We start from the raw sequence: 16,947 nt of genomic DNA on the forward strand, positions 1-16,947 counted from the left end.
AAGGTTTTGTGATAGATATACATTAACTGTGTTGCTTGTTTTCTTAGGCTCCAGGTTATGGAGATGTTAGGTTGTCTTTGGAGGCAATACCAGATACCGTAAACCTTGAAGAACCTTTTCATATTACCTGTAAAATAACAAACTGCAGGTAATGCCACTGTTTGTAGATGGATGTCCTTTCTACCTCACCTGCCTAGAAGATAATTTTAAAATCTTTTTGTTACTATCTCCTTTTAAGTTTTCCTCTTGACATACAGCCTTCTCTGATGTTGATATTGAGTACTGTAAAATTCTTCATCTGGTAGCAGTATAATTACATATTTTTAAGGGCCTATTGTATTATGCATCTTCTGTATTTTATTTCATTCATTTGTCACACCCTATGAGGTAGGTATTCATTGTTTATACTTCCTTCACCAAAACATGAACTAATAGGTTCTTATGTATTAATATATTATGAATTGAAGTAGCAAGATTTTTTGAGGCATGCTTGTACTTGAGCTGTATCTTGAGTATTAAGAAACCAAACATTGCTTATGGATTTAATGTAAGGGGAGATCATTGATTCGAAAACTGGGTTTTGACAGTAAAGAGAGAGCATAATCTGAACTGTCAGGAAGCAAAGAGCACAGGGCTTTGAAACCAGAAAAAAATAGAATTAAGTTCCAGTCCTATGCCCTCTGCTCCTACTTGTATTACCACTTGGTTTGTATTATTATTTGGGGTATTTTTATAATATTGCAGTGATGAATCCTAGTCCTCTTAGTGTGAATGTATAATCCTTTTAATTCCATATTTATTCTTTTTGGTATTAGAAAGATAGGAAATATTTATCCTTCAAAATTACAGAAATACCCACTTCCTCTATGAAGCTACCTAGACTTTCCAAAGCACAGGTATTCATGCCTTCTCCATCATAGAAAATTTTAACTTAGTTTTTTAGTGACACTCATATATTGTGTATTTAGTGACACTCATATATTACTGTAAGTATTAGTCTCTTTCTCACTGGACTGGAATTATTCAGGAGAAGGGACATGGCCTTACTCAGTGTCTGCCACATCGTGAGCTCAGTAAACAACAATACAGGGCAAAGACCCTGTGCTTATAGGGTGTTACAGGGTGTTGGGGAATTTTTGGTTTTTTTTTTAAGTTTTTTCAGCAAATCAGTTTATTGACCAGCTCACAAGTGTTATTTTTTTCAAAAGTTAACTTCTCTTGGTGTTCACTTTAACTTTTGGTGATTCATACAAGTTTTCTAAAAAGCACATGTCTCTTAGATCTTTAGTTTCCTCTCTATATAAATGTCATTCCCTGCCCCTACACACCAGGGACATGCACAGACACATGCACACAACATATATAAGTCTTACTGGATTTTTGTGAAATTAACAATATTCATGTAGTGCATCCACCTTGGTCTCTGGCACATAGTAGCCATCTCAAATGCTTGTTAGGGAGATTCAGGCATATACAAGTTAATATTATAAAGTCAATATGTCTAAAAAAAATAAAATTTAAATAAGCAATTTAAAATTTGGAGCCAAGTATAAGAATAAACAGCTAAAAGCCATAAGTAGCCGTGAATGGTGGTAGGAGACTATTTTTCATTATGAGCCTTTTGGTTATTTAAAGAAGAACAATGTGCATACTTTCATTAAAAGTTTTTTTAACTTATTTAAGCTGAACTGGTGATATCTATTATAAGCAGAAGTAGTCTTTTCTTGGTAAATAATCCAGTTAGCAAACCTGAATAGTATTTATGTCTTATGAATCCTGCCAGTTGTTTCCCAAGTTATGGTAAAGTAACATAGATTAGGTATCAAAAGGACTAGACCAGAATCAGTTGTTTTCTTCTTTTCCTGTAGAGTACCTAACAGAAATAGTGAGAATATATGGCAACAAGATTAGACACAAATGTGTGGAAGTCTCCCAGAAAAATGGTAGCACCAGATCAGCACCAGGAGGCCAGTGTTGAGTAATAGAACCAGAAGGCCAACATCCAGACAGGCAGATTAGTCTGAGGCTATTTTAAGTGCTAGAAGGTGTGACTTCCTTTCATCTTCCTGGTTCTATCTTAAGTGACATAAAAAATGTTATAATAGCTTTTCTCTTTCTGGTTTTTATTCTCCTGGATATGGAGAAAACAAGTTTACTGTCACTAGTAGAAATATTGCAGTACCTCTTTGTGAAATGAACAAGATTTATTCCTATTATTCTGATTCCTCCAGCAGTGAAAGGACTATGGATCTGGTTTTGGAAATGTGCAATACCAATTCCATCCACTGGTGTGGAATTTCAGGAAGACAGCTGGGAAAGCTGCATCCAAGTTCTTCGCTCTGTCTTGCCCTTACTCTGCTTTCTTCAGTACAGGGACTGCAAGTATGCTGTCTTTTCAAAAATTCCAATATTTGGGTGCTGTTAACTTACAAGTCATTTGTGATGTCTGTATTTCCTCTGAATGAATGAAAACTTAGACTCATCTCTCTCTCTCTCAATAGAGCATCTCTGGCTTAAGACTAACAGACACATTCTTAAAGAGAACATATGAATATGATGACATCGCACAAGTCTGTGTGGTATCTTCTGCCATTAAAGTGGAAAGCTGAAGGAAACTTCCAATGTTAGGCTTTTCATTTAGTTTCACAGAACTGCTCTTTTTGTTACCTTTGTAAAATGATGACGTCAACAACGAAGTAAATATGTTACTTAAATTTTCTTTCCTGTAAAATGGTTAAAATATTAAATATTTGTTTTGAAGAGATCTGATTTTATCTTGTAATTTATATTTGAAATGAACATGTGTATATTTTCTACACCTATTATTTAATTTCATTTCATTTTAGATGACCATTGGACTTTGTTCTCCAAAAGCTGTGTATCTGAGACCATTTGTCCCTAGCAAGTTATCTAGAACACGAGTCAGCACACTTTTTATGTAAGGTACAAGATACTAAATATTTTAGGCTTTGCAGGCCGTAAGGTTTCTGTCACAAATACTGAACTCTGCCATCGTACTTCAAGAGCAGCCAGTAGGCAAAAAAAGTACAGTGGTGTACACAAAAAGAAGCAGTTGGACTCGGGAAGCTGAGGCAGGAGAATCACTTGAACCGGGGAGGCAGAGGTTGCAGTTAAGCCGAGATCATGCTACTGCACTCTAGCCTGAGCGACAGAGTGAGACTCTGTCTCAAAAAAAAAGAGGCAGCTGGGCAGATTTGGCCTGCAGGGTATAGTTGGCTGACCTCAATCTAGAAGATAGAGTTGTTTCTTAGAACTTTGTAATATTTTGGTTAGAAATATTTCAGTTAACTCCAGTTTTTTCCTAGCTATTCGGTCAGCAGAAAAAGTTTGCTTAAAACAAAGGGGGTAGTCCTCTTATAACCTGATATTTGTCAACACAGTATAAGCTTTCTAGTTGTTTTCAAAATTACTGTAATGGTTTGTGTCTGTATTTGTATATTATACCTACAAACATACATATCTTTCAGCTACTGAACACATCAGAATTGGTTTTACTTTTTAGGTTGTTGATTTTTTTTAATTAACTATTAACTAAGAATAATACTTATTTTCTAATTATAAGCCAAAAACCCCTGGGTTTTTTTCTCATTGATTAAGCCACTTATTTTTATAAGGTATATTTAAATAATTCCCATCTTCTGATATGATTTTAAACTCTAAATCATGTGTTACTGTTACAAAACTTTCTCTCTCCATGTAATCACACTTAGTTATGAGCAAAGCAGTGAGAAAGTTGAGGTGATAAACAACTTTGCAGCATTAATGTAACAAAAAGTTTCAGTATTTGTCAGGAAAACAAAAGCTTAGGCTGTTAAATAAAAGCTATTCTATTTTGGTAAGTTGAAATTCAAGAATGTATATATAATTTCTTAAATGTAAGAGTGCATTAAATCAAATACAAAAATTGGTTTTTCAATGCATCATTATTTATTGCCATAACAAATTGTTTGGTCCAAAATGAAAGCTATATTCAGAAGGTTTGCACCTCAAAATTGAGTAATAATTAATGAAATGTCTGTACAAAATAAAGTGCAAGCAGTGTAAAATTGAAGTCTGTCTTTGTTTCAAAATGATTAAGATTAAATGATGAAATAATATTTTATAGCCACTGCATTGGATACTTGGATTGTTTTTCAAGCATCTTCTTATGACTAAATCTTCTGTTTCATTCTGTTTTAAATCTAAAAAGTAAAATGATGGTCACTTGGAATCTGCTCTATATTTTAATTATAGTCTCTTCTGTTTATAAACAATAACTTACACATATTTTTCATAGTTTTAAGTAAAGATTAAATAATGCCATCTTAGAAAGGATCTGTTTAACCTATATTATAAAAGTTAGATACACAATTTGGTACATTAAATGAAAATGTCATTTGCATATATAGAACCTGTTCTGTTTTACACAGTATCATAATAGCTACAGCTACTACAAGAAATATGGTTAATGGAAGTCAAACATTTAGTACGATGCTTAAAGAGTTACTTTAATAATGCCCTCTTATTTTTCTAGTTAGATAGCAACTATATTTCCCAGACAAGCAAGAAAATATATGGGGCATTTTTTATAAATTTAAAAGTAGCTAGCACAATCCAACCACGCAACTTTTTTTGAAATAGCTTGCAATGCTATGATTCCAAAGTGATCAAGGTACTTGAAGAGCAAAAATGGCTTGAATAGAATGGAAATGTAGGCAAGTGGACAGATAGCATCTAGATTGAATTTGTTACAGGTGGTATATTAGCAAAGAAATAGAAAAATGAAATGGAAGAAATATACCAATTCCCATTATTTCATGTAAAAAGAATGGCTAATTTAACTACAGATGTTAGCACATGAAGACATTGTTTTAAAGTTTTTTTTCTTATAGTATCTTTGTCTGGGTAATACTGGTCAAATAAAATGAGTTGGGAAGTATTTCCTCCTCTTCTGTTTCCTGGAAGAGATTGTTTAGAATTGATATTATTTCTCCCTTAAGTGTTTGGTAAAATTCATCACGGAAGTTATCTGGGCCTGTAGTTTTCTTTACTGGAAGGTTTTTAACTTAACCACAAACTCAATTTCCTTAATAAATATGGTTCTGTTTAGGTTATCTGTTTCTACAGTGAGCTTTCTAGTTTGTATCCTATAGGGAATCTGTTTCATCTAAGTTGTTAAATATACAATCCTTGAGTTGGTCATGGTGTTTTCTAGTTAGCCTTTTAATAACTATAGTGTCTGTAGTGTATTCCCTTTCATTTCTGACACTGAATTTGTATCTTCTGTTTTTCTAGGCAGTCAGCTAGAAGCTTATCTTATTGCTCTAAAAGCATTTTTAATGCACTCAAGATAGTTATGCTAGAAACTTTAACTTCTTATTCAACACTGAATATGAGTGACTAATTTTTAATTAAGGATCTATTTTGCTTTTTATATCACAGTAATGACTTCTATGTGTTAGTAGTAGTACTTCGTTCTGTGTAATACTGGAATACTAGGAGTTCATTCTAACTTAATGAAAATCAAAGTTGGCTTAGATGGAATATGAATTTAACTTCTGAGGGCCGAAGACTTAAATTGTGCTCTTTTTAAATTCTGCAGAACTATATATCTTCATACAGATCTTCGTTGTAGCTTTGTTTGGCCCAGGTGCTTAGGTGTTTGCAGGTCTGAGAAACCTCTAACCTAGTGTTCCTCTAAATTAGAGTCCTTGGATCTGTATCAAAACCACCTAGTGTACTGTTTAAAAATGGCCATTCCTAGGCCTTATTACAGGACCTACTGTATCAGAATTGAACACGTGGCCCTGAATCTGCATCTTTAATGAATTATCCAGGTGATTCTTACAATGAAGTTATAGAACTACTGTTCTAATGTCACAAAGGAGAAAGAGAAAAGTTGGATTTTAAACTTCAAGATACAAAATAATTAGTCTCTTAGTCTCTTTTTCTTTTTTTTTTTTTTTTTGAAATGGAGTCTTGCTCTGTCACCCAGGCTGGAGTGCAGTGGCGCAATCTTGGCTCACTGCAACCTCTGCCTCTCAGGTTCGAGCAATTCTCATGCTTCAGCCTCCCAAGTAGCTGGGACTACGGGTGCCCGCCACCAAGCCAGGCTAATTTTTGTATTTTCAGTAGAGGTGGGTTTCACCATGTTGGCCAGGCTGGTCTCAAACTCCTGACCTCAGGTGATCCCCCCTGCCTTGGCCTCCCAAAGTGCTGGGATTACAGGCATGAGCCACAGCGCCCGGCCAATTAGTCTTTTGATAAGGGTTCTATAAGGCCTAATCATCTGCATTATTACTCATTTAATTGTATATTACTTCCTGGCCAGGCACAGTGGCTCACACCTCTAATCCCAGCACTTTGAGGGGCCAAGATGGGCAGATCACTTGAGGTCAGGAGTTCGAGACCAGCCTGGCCGATACGGTGGAACTCTCTCCATTAAAAACAAAAATTAGCGGCCAGGCACGGTGGCTCACGCCTGTAATCCCAGCATTTGGGAGGCCAAGGCAGGCGGATCACGAGGTCAAGAGATTGAGACAATCCTGGCAAACATGGTGAAACCCCGTCTCTACTAAAAATACAAAAATTAGCTGGGCATGGTGACACGTGCCTGTAATCCCAGCTACTCAGGAGGCTGAGGCAGGAGAATCACTTGAACCCGGGAGGCAGAGGTTGCAGTGAGCCGCGATTGCGCCACTGCACTCCAGCCTGGCGACAGAGAGAGACTCCATCTCAAGAAAAAAAAAAAAAAAATTAGCTGGGCGTGGTGGTGGGCGCCCGTAATCCCAGCTACTTGGGAGCTTAAGGCTCGAGAATCACTTGAATCCAGGAGGTGGAGGTTGCAGTGAGCTGACATTGCAACACCACTCTAGCCTGGCAAAAGAGTAAGACTCCATCTCAAAAAAACCCCACAAAATTTATATTACTTCCTTTTTCAGTTTTCCCTCGTAAAACTTGTGAAGTCATTACATGTCAGCACCAATTTCATTATTAATAAACAAAAAATATACTCTAGTTGGAATTAAACTCTCATCATCAATGTAGTTAGACCCATGCAATTAATACCTAATGCCCCTTTTCTCCACTAACTAATATGGCATCTAATTTATAATAAAATATTTTAAGTCTCCTGTTATATTTAAATTGCATCAAATTTAAATTATGTTAATTATAAGACTGGCATGCCAAGCCAAATTATCACAGAAGATTACATGAACAAGCAATGTTAGTGATAGATGCTTTTTGTTATCCATCAAATAATTACTAAGTTTTCTTTTTAAAAAAAATCAGTGTTTATGGGCACACAATTAAATACCATTTAGAAAATCCTTAACTTAGGACCAGGTCACTGGCTTAGTTAAAGTATATTTATATTTGATAGTTTCCAAGGTAAGGTTACCATTGGGGAAATTGTGATAATTAAGTCAAACAGTTGTACCACTGACCTAACCAGTACATTAAGGATTTCTAAATGTATCTTATTGTGTATTTAGCATAAGTGGCCATGCTAATATTATCAATACCAAACTGCAGACAAGATTAGTTAAGAACTATGCAGAAAACCTGAGCATCCTACCTTTACTTTCTATACATTCGCATTACCAATTTTTTCTTTTCAAAACATCCCTTGCATCAAGTGCTACTTTCTAACAGCTCTTAAGATTCTCTGTTCACCAGAACAAGCAACATTAAAGATAACATTGGTTCCCATGTTATATATTCATTACTAATAGCACTTATCAAAGCTAAACCTAGATAATATTCCTTCTTTCCTGACATACTGCTCAGTGGCAAGTACACTTCTTCTCAACCAGCATAGGAAACCTTTCCTTTGGGTCATTTCCCTTCTCAAAAAACTTTGCTTAAGGGAAATTGGAGCTAAAGAGCTTACCAACAAATAGCCCTACTAGAGTTCAATAAATATGCTTTGCTATTAAGTCTAATATACAAATATGATAGAAGTTTGAAAATGGAACCTTATCCCAGTGCTATATTGGCACGTAACATGGCTAGTGATCATTTCAAAAGGAGTCATGTTATGTTTTGAGTTTGTTTGTGATAAACCTATTGTCTAAACAGATTTATTCTTTAAGAATATACACAAGAGGTTTTCCTCCATTATTTTCACACATCAGATATGGTGTTTGGTTTTTTGAAGGAGGGAGGGGGTACTATCTACAACAAATACTTCATTCATAGCCATAAACCATTTGTATCTTGGGCTTGAGCCCCTGGTTAAATCAGGAATGCTCTTCAGCGCTGCTGCTGAATGATCTGCTCCGGATGTGATTTCTCAGTTGCTCTATAAGTTCAGGATTTTGTTGCTGTATCTGCTGAGCAAACTGCTGTCCCCTGTAGTAAAGAGGCAATGTGGTTTGAATAGGGAATTGCCAGTCACATTTACCCACGCAAAAAGAAATGCAGAAAATGTAGGAGCTACCTAAAGGGGGCTTTTTTCTATAAAAACAAGTTTCAGAGCCATGACTTTAGAATCTACAAGTTTACCAATGCCTCCATATAGCATTATTACAATGCAGTGTTCTTTATAAGAAACAAAACACCCATGCTAAAAAAAATAAGTACCTCAACTGGGTGAAATCTACTTCTCTAGTGCTAATGACAAAGAAGCAAAGGGTAAGACGTATATGTTTTTATTGTATGTGCTCAAATACAATGCTTTTATACCCAAGTCTTAATAGTCTCATATAACACCCAGTTTGGGATGCTTTTGGAGGTCACCTAACAAGTAATTTTAAAAACACTAAGAAGTTTAACACAAATTGTAGTATGTGACCCTCTATTGCCAGTGTTAGATGTCATTATATGCCATTTAAAGGTCATTCTAAAAATGCAATATTCTAAGTGGATACACAGTTGTGCTGACAAACAACAAGTGGTACTGTGGCTTCATATAAAATGTCCAGCGAGAGCATCAGACACAGATTCAAAAAGCAAAGTTGTCTTCGCCAATTTGATATAAGTGAAGGCAATGTGCTCAAGTAATGAGAAGATGCAAGTAGTTCCTCTAAGTGTTGACAGGCACTGAAAAAGTTTGAATAAAAATTTCCTGAATTGCCTGAACATTAAAGTATGTAACAAGTGATTTTAAACTATGTATGTGTACCTAAATTGATATATATTTTAAGAGGATATTTGACCTTCATCTGTGTCCCTGAGTAGTTTGAAGTCTGCTGAAAAACTTCCTGGATCTTCATTGGGAAAAAATGGGGGATTAATAGCTTTATATATATATGAGATCACAATTTATTTGGACATATGATTTTTACTGTTTGTCTCCATACCCTCAAAGTACCAGGTCACCAATCCTTGGGACCCTCTGTAAGCAGAGATACAGTATTGATACCCCCACTTAAAAACCAAGGACCCTAATTTCATGCTGACAACACAATCAAGTAAAATTAGGCTGCAAATGAAAAGACTGAATGTGCTATGGGTTCCTTAGTAAGTCACTAACCTGTACCTCAGTTTCTCTAGCCATTGGGTAGGGATATAAATTATCTACTTTTCTAATATCTGTCCCTCACCTGCCTTATTGAGATGGTGCCAAAAAAGAAAAGAAGAAAAAGATTCTGCTGGTACTTGAAAGTCCCAAAAAATAAAGCATAATGAACCGGGGGCGGGGGTGGGGGTGGGGGGAAGCATAATAAACATGGTTCTTTTTCTCAACAGACAGGGCTGGCCAGACTATCTAGGTATGGATTCCTGCCCTGCAGTCTAAAAAGTGGTTGTAATTCATGAACTTCTTTCAGATTTAGTAACATTAAGGAGGCTAAAGTTACTAACGGTAAAAGATAAACATTTAAAAAGAAAGCCCTGACCCCTCACCATAGAGATAGGCTGTAAAACATAAAATACATCTTCACTATTTCTGTTTTAAATAATACTTACGCTTGGATGAGGCTTGACAGGTCAGTTAGGCCCCCAACTCCAGCAGCAGGTCCCCCAATGGCATTTGTCATCATTCCTGACATTCTAGAGTACACAAGAAATACATCACTGGGATTGGTATATATTCTTAACAAATAGGACAACTGGACGAGGAAAAGTTAATAAAATACCCATGTTATACCAGAGGCTAGGCCAAATGTGTGTGGCTTTAAGCTCCAACTGACTGTCATTCAGAACAGTTTCATCATTTTTGAGCTGATGTGCTCAAATTAGGAGCCTGGCAAGTGGAAGGGTTGGGGAAGTGTAATAAGCTCTTTCTATATACTTACAGCTGTTGAACTTGAGGGTTCTGCATTAAACTTGCCGCCTGGAATTGAAAAACAGCACCTCCCATTAAAGGCAGTTAATATGTAGGGATCTTAGCAAAGATTTTTTTTTTAGAAGAATGAAAGCTAAATCATGTATGCACTAACATTTTGTAGAGTTTCAGTGTGCTATGCAAAGTAAAGGGGAATGTAAAAAGAGAGAAGGTACTAGAAAAAGTGGCATTAAGAAGACATGGTGAGGATAAAGAGATTACAAACAACACTATAAACTGAGGATGTTGACAGCAGTTTACTTACTACTGCTATCAGACCAATTAAGCCAAAAGGAAAAATAGGAACTTTAAAAGTATGGTTAAGGGATCTCCTACACTTGAGAAGGTCCATTCCAAACGAGCTTTTAAGAGATGTGACTTTGCTCCATGGGGCCCAGCAATTTCAATCCTTCCCATGCTTACAGTGGCACAAGGAATTATATTTATGTGCACACATACTTTTAAAACATTCTATTTTGAAAGCATCACATTTTTTCCCTCAAATTGGTAATGTCGACAATATTTATGTAAAATTTGAATTTAGTCTAAATCTTTGTAGACAATAGATTATATTCACAGACTCTCTATGAGGTGTTGGGAAAAGCCACCACTTGCTTATATTACCAGAAAGATCACTGACTGATTCGTAAGTAATTCAAAACTTTCCTCAAGTCCCAGTCAGGATTGGTGCCTCTGAGCCAACCCATAAGTGCTAAAGGCATTACACAGGAAAAGCAGGATGTATGAGCTATAAACATGAAATGCTGTGTTTTGCAATCCCTTTAAACTAGTTCTGCAGCAGTAGTTCTTCCCCTTCTCCCACAATCTAGGACCTAGAGGAAATTTAGAACAGATCTATGCTTTTCCAGTCACTTTTCAGTAAGCAATCCTCCTGTCACTTTAAGTTCTATAAAATGACCTCCAGTTCAGCAATTAATGTCTCAGTGTAACAATCAAATACATAAAGCTTCATTTACAGGTAAAACTTCTCCCTTCCTAGCATGGGCCTGCTACAGACTGACCGGTTGTAGTAGAAAAGAGGCACCATTGACTGCTTTGTTTCCTATAGTAGCGGTCCCCAACCCCTGGGCCACAGACTGTTAGGAACCAGGCTGCACAGCAGCAGGTAAGCGGTGGGCGAGCAAGCATTACTGCCTGAGCTCCACCTCCTGTCAGATCAGCTGCAGCATTAGATTCTCATAGGAGCAAGAACCCTATTGTGAACTGCGCATGTGAAGGACCTAGGTTGAGTGCTCCTCAAGAGAATCTAACGCTCCTCTCCCCATCCTGCCCCTACCCCCTACACCCGGTATGGTCCATGGAAAAACTGTCTTCCATGAAACCAGTCCCTGTTACAAAAAGGTTGGGGACCGCTGTCCTATAGGGCTATTTTTTTTTTTTGAGATGAAGTTTCACTCTGTCACCCAGGCTGGAGTGCAATGGCATGACCTCAGCTCACTGCAACCTCTGCCTCCCGGAGTCAAGTGATTCTCCTGCCTCAGCCACCCAAGTAGCTGGGATTACAGGCATGCACCACCATGCCCAGCTAATTTTTGTATTTTTAGTAGAGACGGGGTTTCGCCAGGTTGGCCAGGCTGGTCTGGAACTCCTGACCTCAAGTGCTCCGCCCATCTTAGCCTCCCAAAGTGCTGGGATTACAGGTGTGAGCCAGCACACCAAGGCCTATAGTGCTTCTTTATCCTGTAGTACTTCCAGTCCTCTTCCCTCAGCTTGCTGATTAAGAGTTGTGGCCCTCCAGGTTGAGGGTTAAATGGAGGGAAAGGTGAAAGGAGCAGCAAAGTTCTTATTTGATGACTGGTATTATCTTACTAGTTTTGCATTGGTGCTTTTTGAGTTTGCAAGGTATTCAAAAACTACTGTGGTTCTCTTATGGGGTACTTTCTCATGTTCTTCAGACACTTCTCCTTTCCCTAGGCCCTGGAGATTTCTTACCTATTCTTTGAAAAGGGTAATTTACCCTCTGGATGGATGCTATGACTTTCCCTTCAGTCTTAGGTTCTTGGCAGTCCTCCAGAGATTCTCTGTGTTGGGATCCTGTCACACTTCCAGGAAAGCCTCTTGAACATATTCAGACACACTCTCTCACAATTGTGTGTGCTCACCTTGGTCCACAGGAAACACCTCTGCTCCACTCTCATCAGTACAGTAACTGCCCAAACCACACAGCTAATTCTGCCACTGGCTATCCAGTTGAACTATCAGGTAGAAAGTCTCTGTACCAGAAAAGCCCTTTCTCAGTGAGGGCTTGAGATGAGAGCAAGCCTCCCTAATTCCTTCATATAGGGAGCCCTAAAACTCTAATAGCTCTCTCCAAAAATCATGTTTTAATTTCCATCAACCTGGCCTTTTTTATGAGTCACAAAACATGTTTTTTATCCCCATCTTTTGCAACTCCTACATGGTGGTCTCACACCTTATTTTGGTACATAGCAGCTTGGAGCCTAAGCCAAATCTGAAACTAAAAGAATTCCATTTTTCACATCTTGTTACAATGCCATAACCTGAGTCCTAGAATGGGTAACCATTCTTAAAAAAAAAAATGAAGTCACAAGATCTACAAAACATGTATTTGCTAGCATGGTAAGAAGGCTGAAATTTGATAAGGGAAAAATAAAAACTACCAGTTGCTAAAAAGACTTATCTCACTGGGAATGAGTCATCTGTGCATTTCAGTTCAACAGAAGATTTAATGGATGCAAGACACATTTTTTGAAGGAAACAAAAGATGAATAAAAACTGATTCCTGCCTTCCAAGGGCATATCATGGATAGAATAATTCTCATCCAAAGTATACAGTCACCCCAGGAGCTTGATATGCCCTGGTAACATCCTAAACCCACTAAATCAAAGTTACCACATATTGGACCAGAGCGTGTATGTTCTCAAAAAGGCCCATACATTATTTTGTTGTTTTGTAAGAATAGAAGACAAACACATGAGATATCTATATCTATATCTATCTATCTATATCAAATAAACTCTAAAGATAGAAAACAAGGCAGACAATGCTGAGGGGCAAGCTAGGGAACCACAATGGCCAAATACTCAAACTGCAGATGTTAGATATCTTCCTAGGACCACTTTTATGTAAGAGAGTAGTTTTTAACCTTTCATATATTGGCAGATTCCTGTGCCAATCTCATGAAAAATATGATGCTCTCCCTGGAAAAATGCACACATACACATGTACACAGATTTTTATATATAATTTTGGAAAAATCCATGAGCTTCCTAAAGTCCATCCATGGCTTTCCCACAGGAGGTACATGGACACGTTAAGAACCCTGCCATTCAGCCAGAGAGAAAGGCCAGGCCACCTACAAAGGGAAGCCCATCAGACTAACAGCAGATCTCTCAGCAGAAACCCTATAAGCCAGAAGAGATTGGGGGCCCATATTCAACATCCTTAAAAGAATTTCCAACCCAGAATTTCATATCTGGTCAAACTAAGCTTCATAAGCAAAGGAGAAATAAGATCCTTTTCAGACAAGCAAATGCCGAGGGAATTCATTACTACCAGACCTGCCTTACAAGAGTTCCTGAAGGAAGCACTAAATATGGAAAGGAAAAATTGTTACCAGCCACTACAAAAACACACTGAAGTATACAGACCAGTGACACTGTGAAGCAACCACATAAGTTTGCAAAATAACCAGCTAGCATCATGATGACAGGATCAAATTTACACATAACAATACTAACCTTAAATGTAAATGGGCTAAATGCCCCAATTAAAAGACACAGAATGGCAAACCAGATAAAAAAACAAGACCCATCAGTGAGCTGTATTCAAGAGACCCACTATACATACAAAGACACACATAGGCTCAAAATACAGGGATGAAGGAAAATTTACCAAGCAAATGGAAAACAGAAAAAAGCAGTGGTCGCAATCCTAGTTTCTGACAAAACAGACTCTAAACCAAAGAAGATCAAAAAAGACAAAGAAGGAAGCAGAGGTTGCAGTGAGCTGAAATTGCGCCACTGTACTCCAGCCTGGGTGACAGAGCAAGACTCTGTCTCAAGAGAAAAAAAAAAGACAAAGAAGGGCATTACATAATGGTAAAGGGTTCAATTCAACAAGAAGAGCTAACTACCTTAAATATATATGCACCCAATACAGGAACACCCAGATTCATAAAGCAAGTACTTCGAGAGCTTCAAAGAGACTAGACTCCCACACAATAATAGTGGGAGACTTTAACACTCTGCTGACAATAGTAGACAGATCATCAAGACAGAAAACTAACAAAGATATTCAAACCTGACCTCAGCTCTGGATCAAGTGGACCTGATATCTACAGAACTCTCCACCCAAAAACAACAGAATATACGTTCTTCTCATCACCACATGGCACTCAATTCACTCAAAACCACACAACTACATGGAAATTGAACAACCTGCTCCTGAATGACTTTTGGGTAAATAATAAAATTAAGGCAGAACTTCTTGAATGAGAAGAATGAACTTCTTTGAATGAGAACAAAGATACAACATACCAGAATCTCAGACACAGCTAAAATTTCATTCTTGTTAAGAAAGAAATTTATAGCACTAAATGCCCAAATCAAAAAGCTAGAAAGATCTCCAGTTGACAACCTAATATCACAAATAAAAGAACTAGAGAAACAAGAGCAAACAAACCCCGAAGCTAGCAGAAGACAAGAAATAACCAAGATCAGAGCTGAACTGAAGGAGATAGAGACACAGAAAACCCTTCAAAAAAAAAAAAAATGAATACAGGAGCTAGTTTTTTGATAAAATTAATAAAATAGACCGCTAGCTATACTAATGAAGAAAAAAGAGAGAAGATTCAAACAAACACAATCAAAAATGATATTACCACTGACCCCACAGAAATACAAACAACCATCAAAGAATAGTATAAACAGTCCTATGCGCATAAACTAGAAATTTTACTAATGAATTTCTAGAAGAACTTGATAAATTCCTGGACACATACATCCTCCCAAGACTGAACCAGGAAGAAATTGAATCCCTGAATAAACCAATAATGAGTTCTGAAATTGAGGCACTAATAAATAGCCTACCAACCAAAAAAAAAAAAAAAAGCCCAGGACCAGACGAATTCACAGCTGAATTCTACCAGAGGTACAAAGAAGAGCTGGTACCGTTCCTACAGAAACTATTCTAAAAAATTGAAAAGGAGGATCTCCTCCCTAATTCATTCTATGAGGCCAACATCATCCTGATACCAAAACCTGGCAGAGATACAATAACAAAAAAGAAAACTTCAGGCCAATATCCTTGATGAACATTGATACAAAAATCCTCAGCAAAATACTGGCAAACTGAATCCAAGCAGCACATCAAAAAGCTTACCCATCACAATCACGGAGGCTTCATCCCCAAGATGCAAGGCTGTTTCTACATATGCAAATCAATAAATGTGATTCATCTCATAAACAGAACTAAAGACAAAAACCCCATGATTATCTCAATAGATGCTGAAGAGGCCTTCAAGAAAATTCAACATCCTTTCATATAAGAAACTCTTAATAAACTAGATATTGAAGGAACATACCTCAAAATAATAAAAGCCATATATGACAAACCTACAGCCAATATCATACTGAATGGGCAAAAGCTGGAAGTGTTCCCCTTGAAAACCAGCACAAGACAAAATACCCTCTCTCATCACTCCTATTCAACAAATTAATAGTATTGGAAGTTTTGGCCAGGGAAATGAAGCACAATAAAGAAATAAAGCATATTCAAATAGGAAGAGAGGAAGTCAAATTATCCCTATATGCAGATGACAGGATCCTATATCTAGAAAACCCTATTGTCTCAGTCGAGAAGTTTATTAAGCTGATAAGCAACTTCAGCACAGTCTCAGGATACAAAATCAATGTGCAAAAATTGCTAGCATTCCTACATACCAACAACAGGCAAGTCGAAAGTCAAATCACAAATGAACTCGCATTCACAATTGCCATAAAAAGAATAAAATATCTAGAAATACAGCTAACAGGCAAAGTGAAGGAACTCTTCAAGGAGAACTACAAACCACTGCTCAAGGAAATAAGAGAGAACAGAAACAAGTGGAAAAACACTCCATGCTCATGGATAGAAGAATCAAAATCGTGAAAATGGCCATATTGCCTAAAGCAATTTATAGATTCAATGCTATTCCCATTAAACTACCATTGACATTCTTCACAGAATTAGAAAAAACTATTTTAAAATTCATATGGAACCAAAAAAGAGCCCAAACATCCAAGGCAATCCTAAACAAAAAGAACAAAGCTGAGGCATCATGCTACCCAATTTCAAACTGTACTACAGGGCTACAATAACCAAAACTGCATGGTACTGGTACAAGAACAGACACATAGACCAGTGGAACAGAACAGAGAACCCAGAAATAAGACTGCACACTCACAACCATCTGATCTTTGACAAACCTGGCAAAAGCAATGGGGAAAGGATTCCCTATTTAATAAGTGTTGCTGAGAGAATTGGCTAGCCATATGGAGAAAATTGAAACTGGACCCCTTCGTTATACCATATATATACAAAAATCAACTCAAGATGGATTAAAGACTTAAATGTGCAACTCAAAACTATAAGAACTCTATAAACCGAGGCAATATCATTCAGGACATAGACACAGGCAAAGATTTCATGATGA

General features: G+C 37.2%; 2 protein-coding genes across 9 annotated transcripts in view; one reads left to right on the forward strand and one right to left on the reverse strand.

The window, feature by feature from the left end:
• TRAPPC13 (trafficking protein particle complex subunit 13) overlaps positions 1-4,231 on the forward strand; it is a 41,207-nt gene extending 36,976 nt beyond the window's left edge. For 3 of the 6 annotated variants that reach the window (NM_001093755.2, NM_001243737.2, NM_001365342.1), the window contains 3 exons: positions 48-148; positions 2,232-2,382; positions 2,502-4,231. In NM_001093755.2, the coding sequence (NP_001087224.1) occupies positions 48-148; positions 2,232-2,382; positions 2,502-2,609 (360 nt within the window). In that variant the 3' untranslated portion in view covers positions 2,610-4,231. The remainder of the gene's footprint in view (positions 1-47; positions 149-2,231; positions 2,383-2,501) is intronic. The other 3 variants (NM_024941.4, NM_001093756.2, NM_001365343.1) reach the window with 1 other exon arrangement.
• Positions 3,926-16,947, reverse strand: part of SGTB (small glutamine rich tetratricopeptide repeat co-chaperone beta) — a 57,086-nt gene continuing 44,064 nt past the window's right edge. For all 3 annotated transcript variants that reach the window (XM_005248548.4, NM_019072.3, XM_047417334.1), the window contains 3 exons: positions 10,242-10,279; positions 9,913-9,996; positions 3,926-8,355 (listed from right to left, as the gene is read on the reverse strand). In XM_005248548.4, coding sequence (XP_005248605.1) covers positions 8,244-8,355; positions 9,913-9,996; positions 10,242-10,279 — 234 coding nt within the window. In that variant the 3' untranslated portion in view covers positions 3,926-8,243. The remainder of the gene's footprint in view (positions 8,356-9,912; positions 9,997-10,241; positions 10,280-16,947) is intronic.

This window comes from Homo sapiens, chromosome 5, assembly GCF_000001405.40.
Source record: "Homo sapiens chromosome 5, GRCh38.p14 Primary Assembly".
In the NCBI taxonomy this organism is placed as follows: Eukaryota; Metazoa; Chordata; class Mammalia; order Primates; family Hominidae; genus Homo; species Homo sapiens.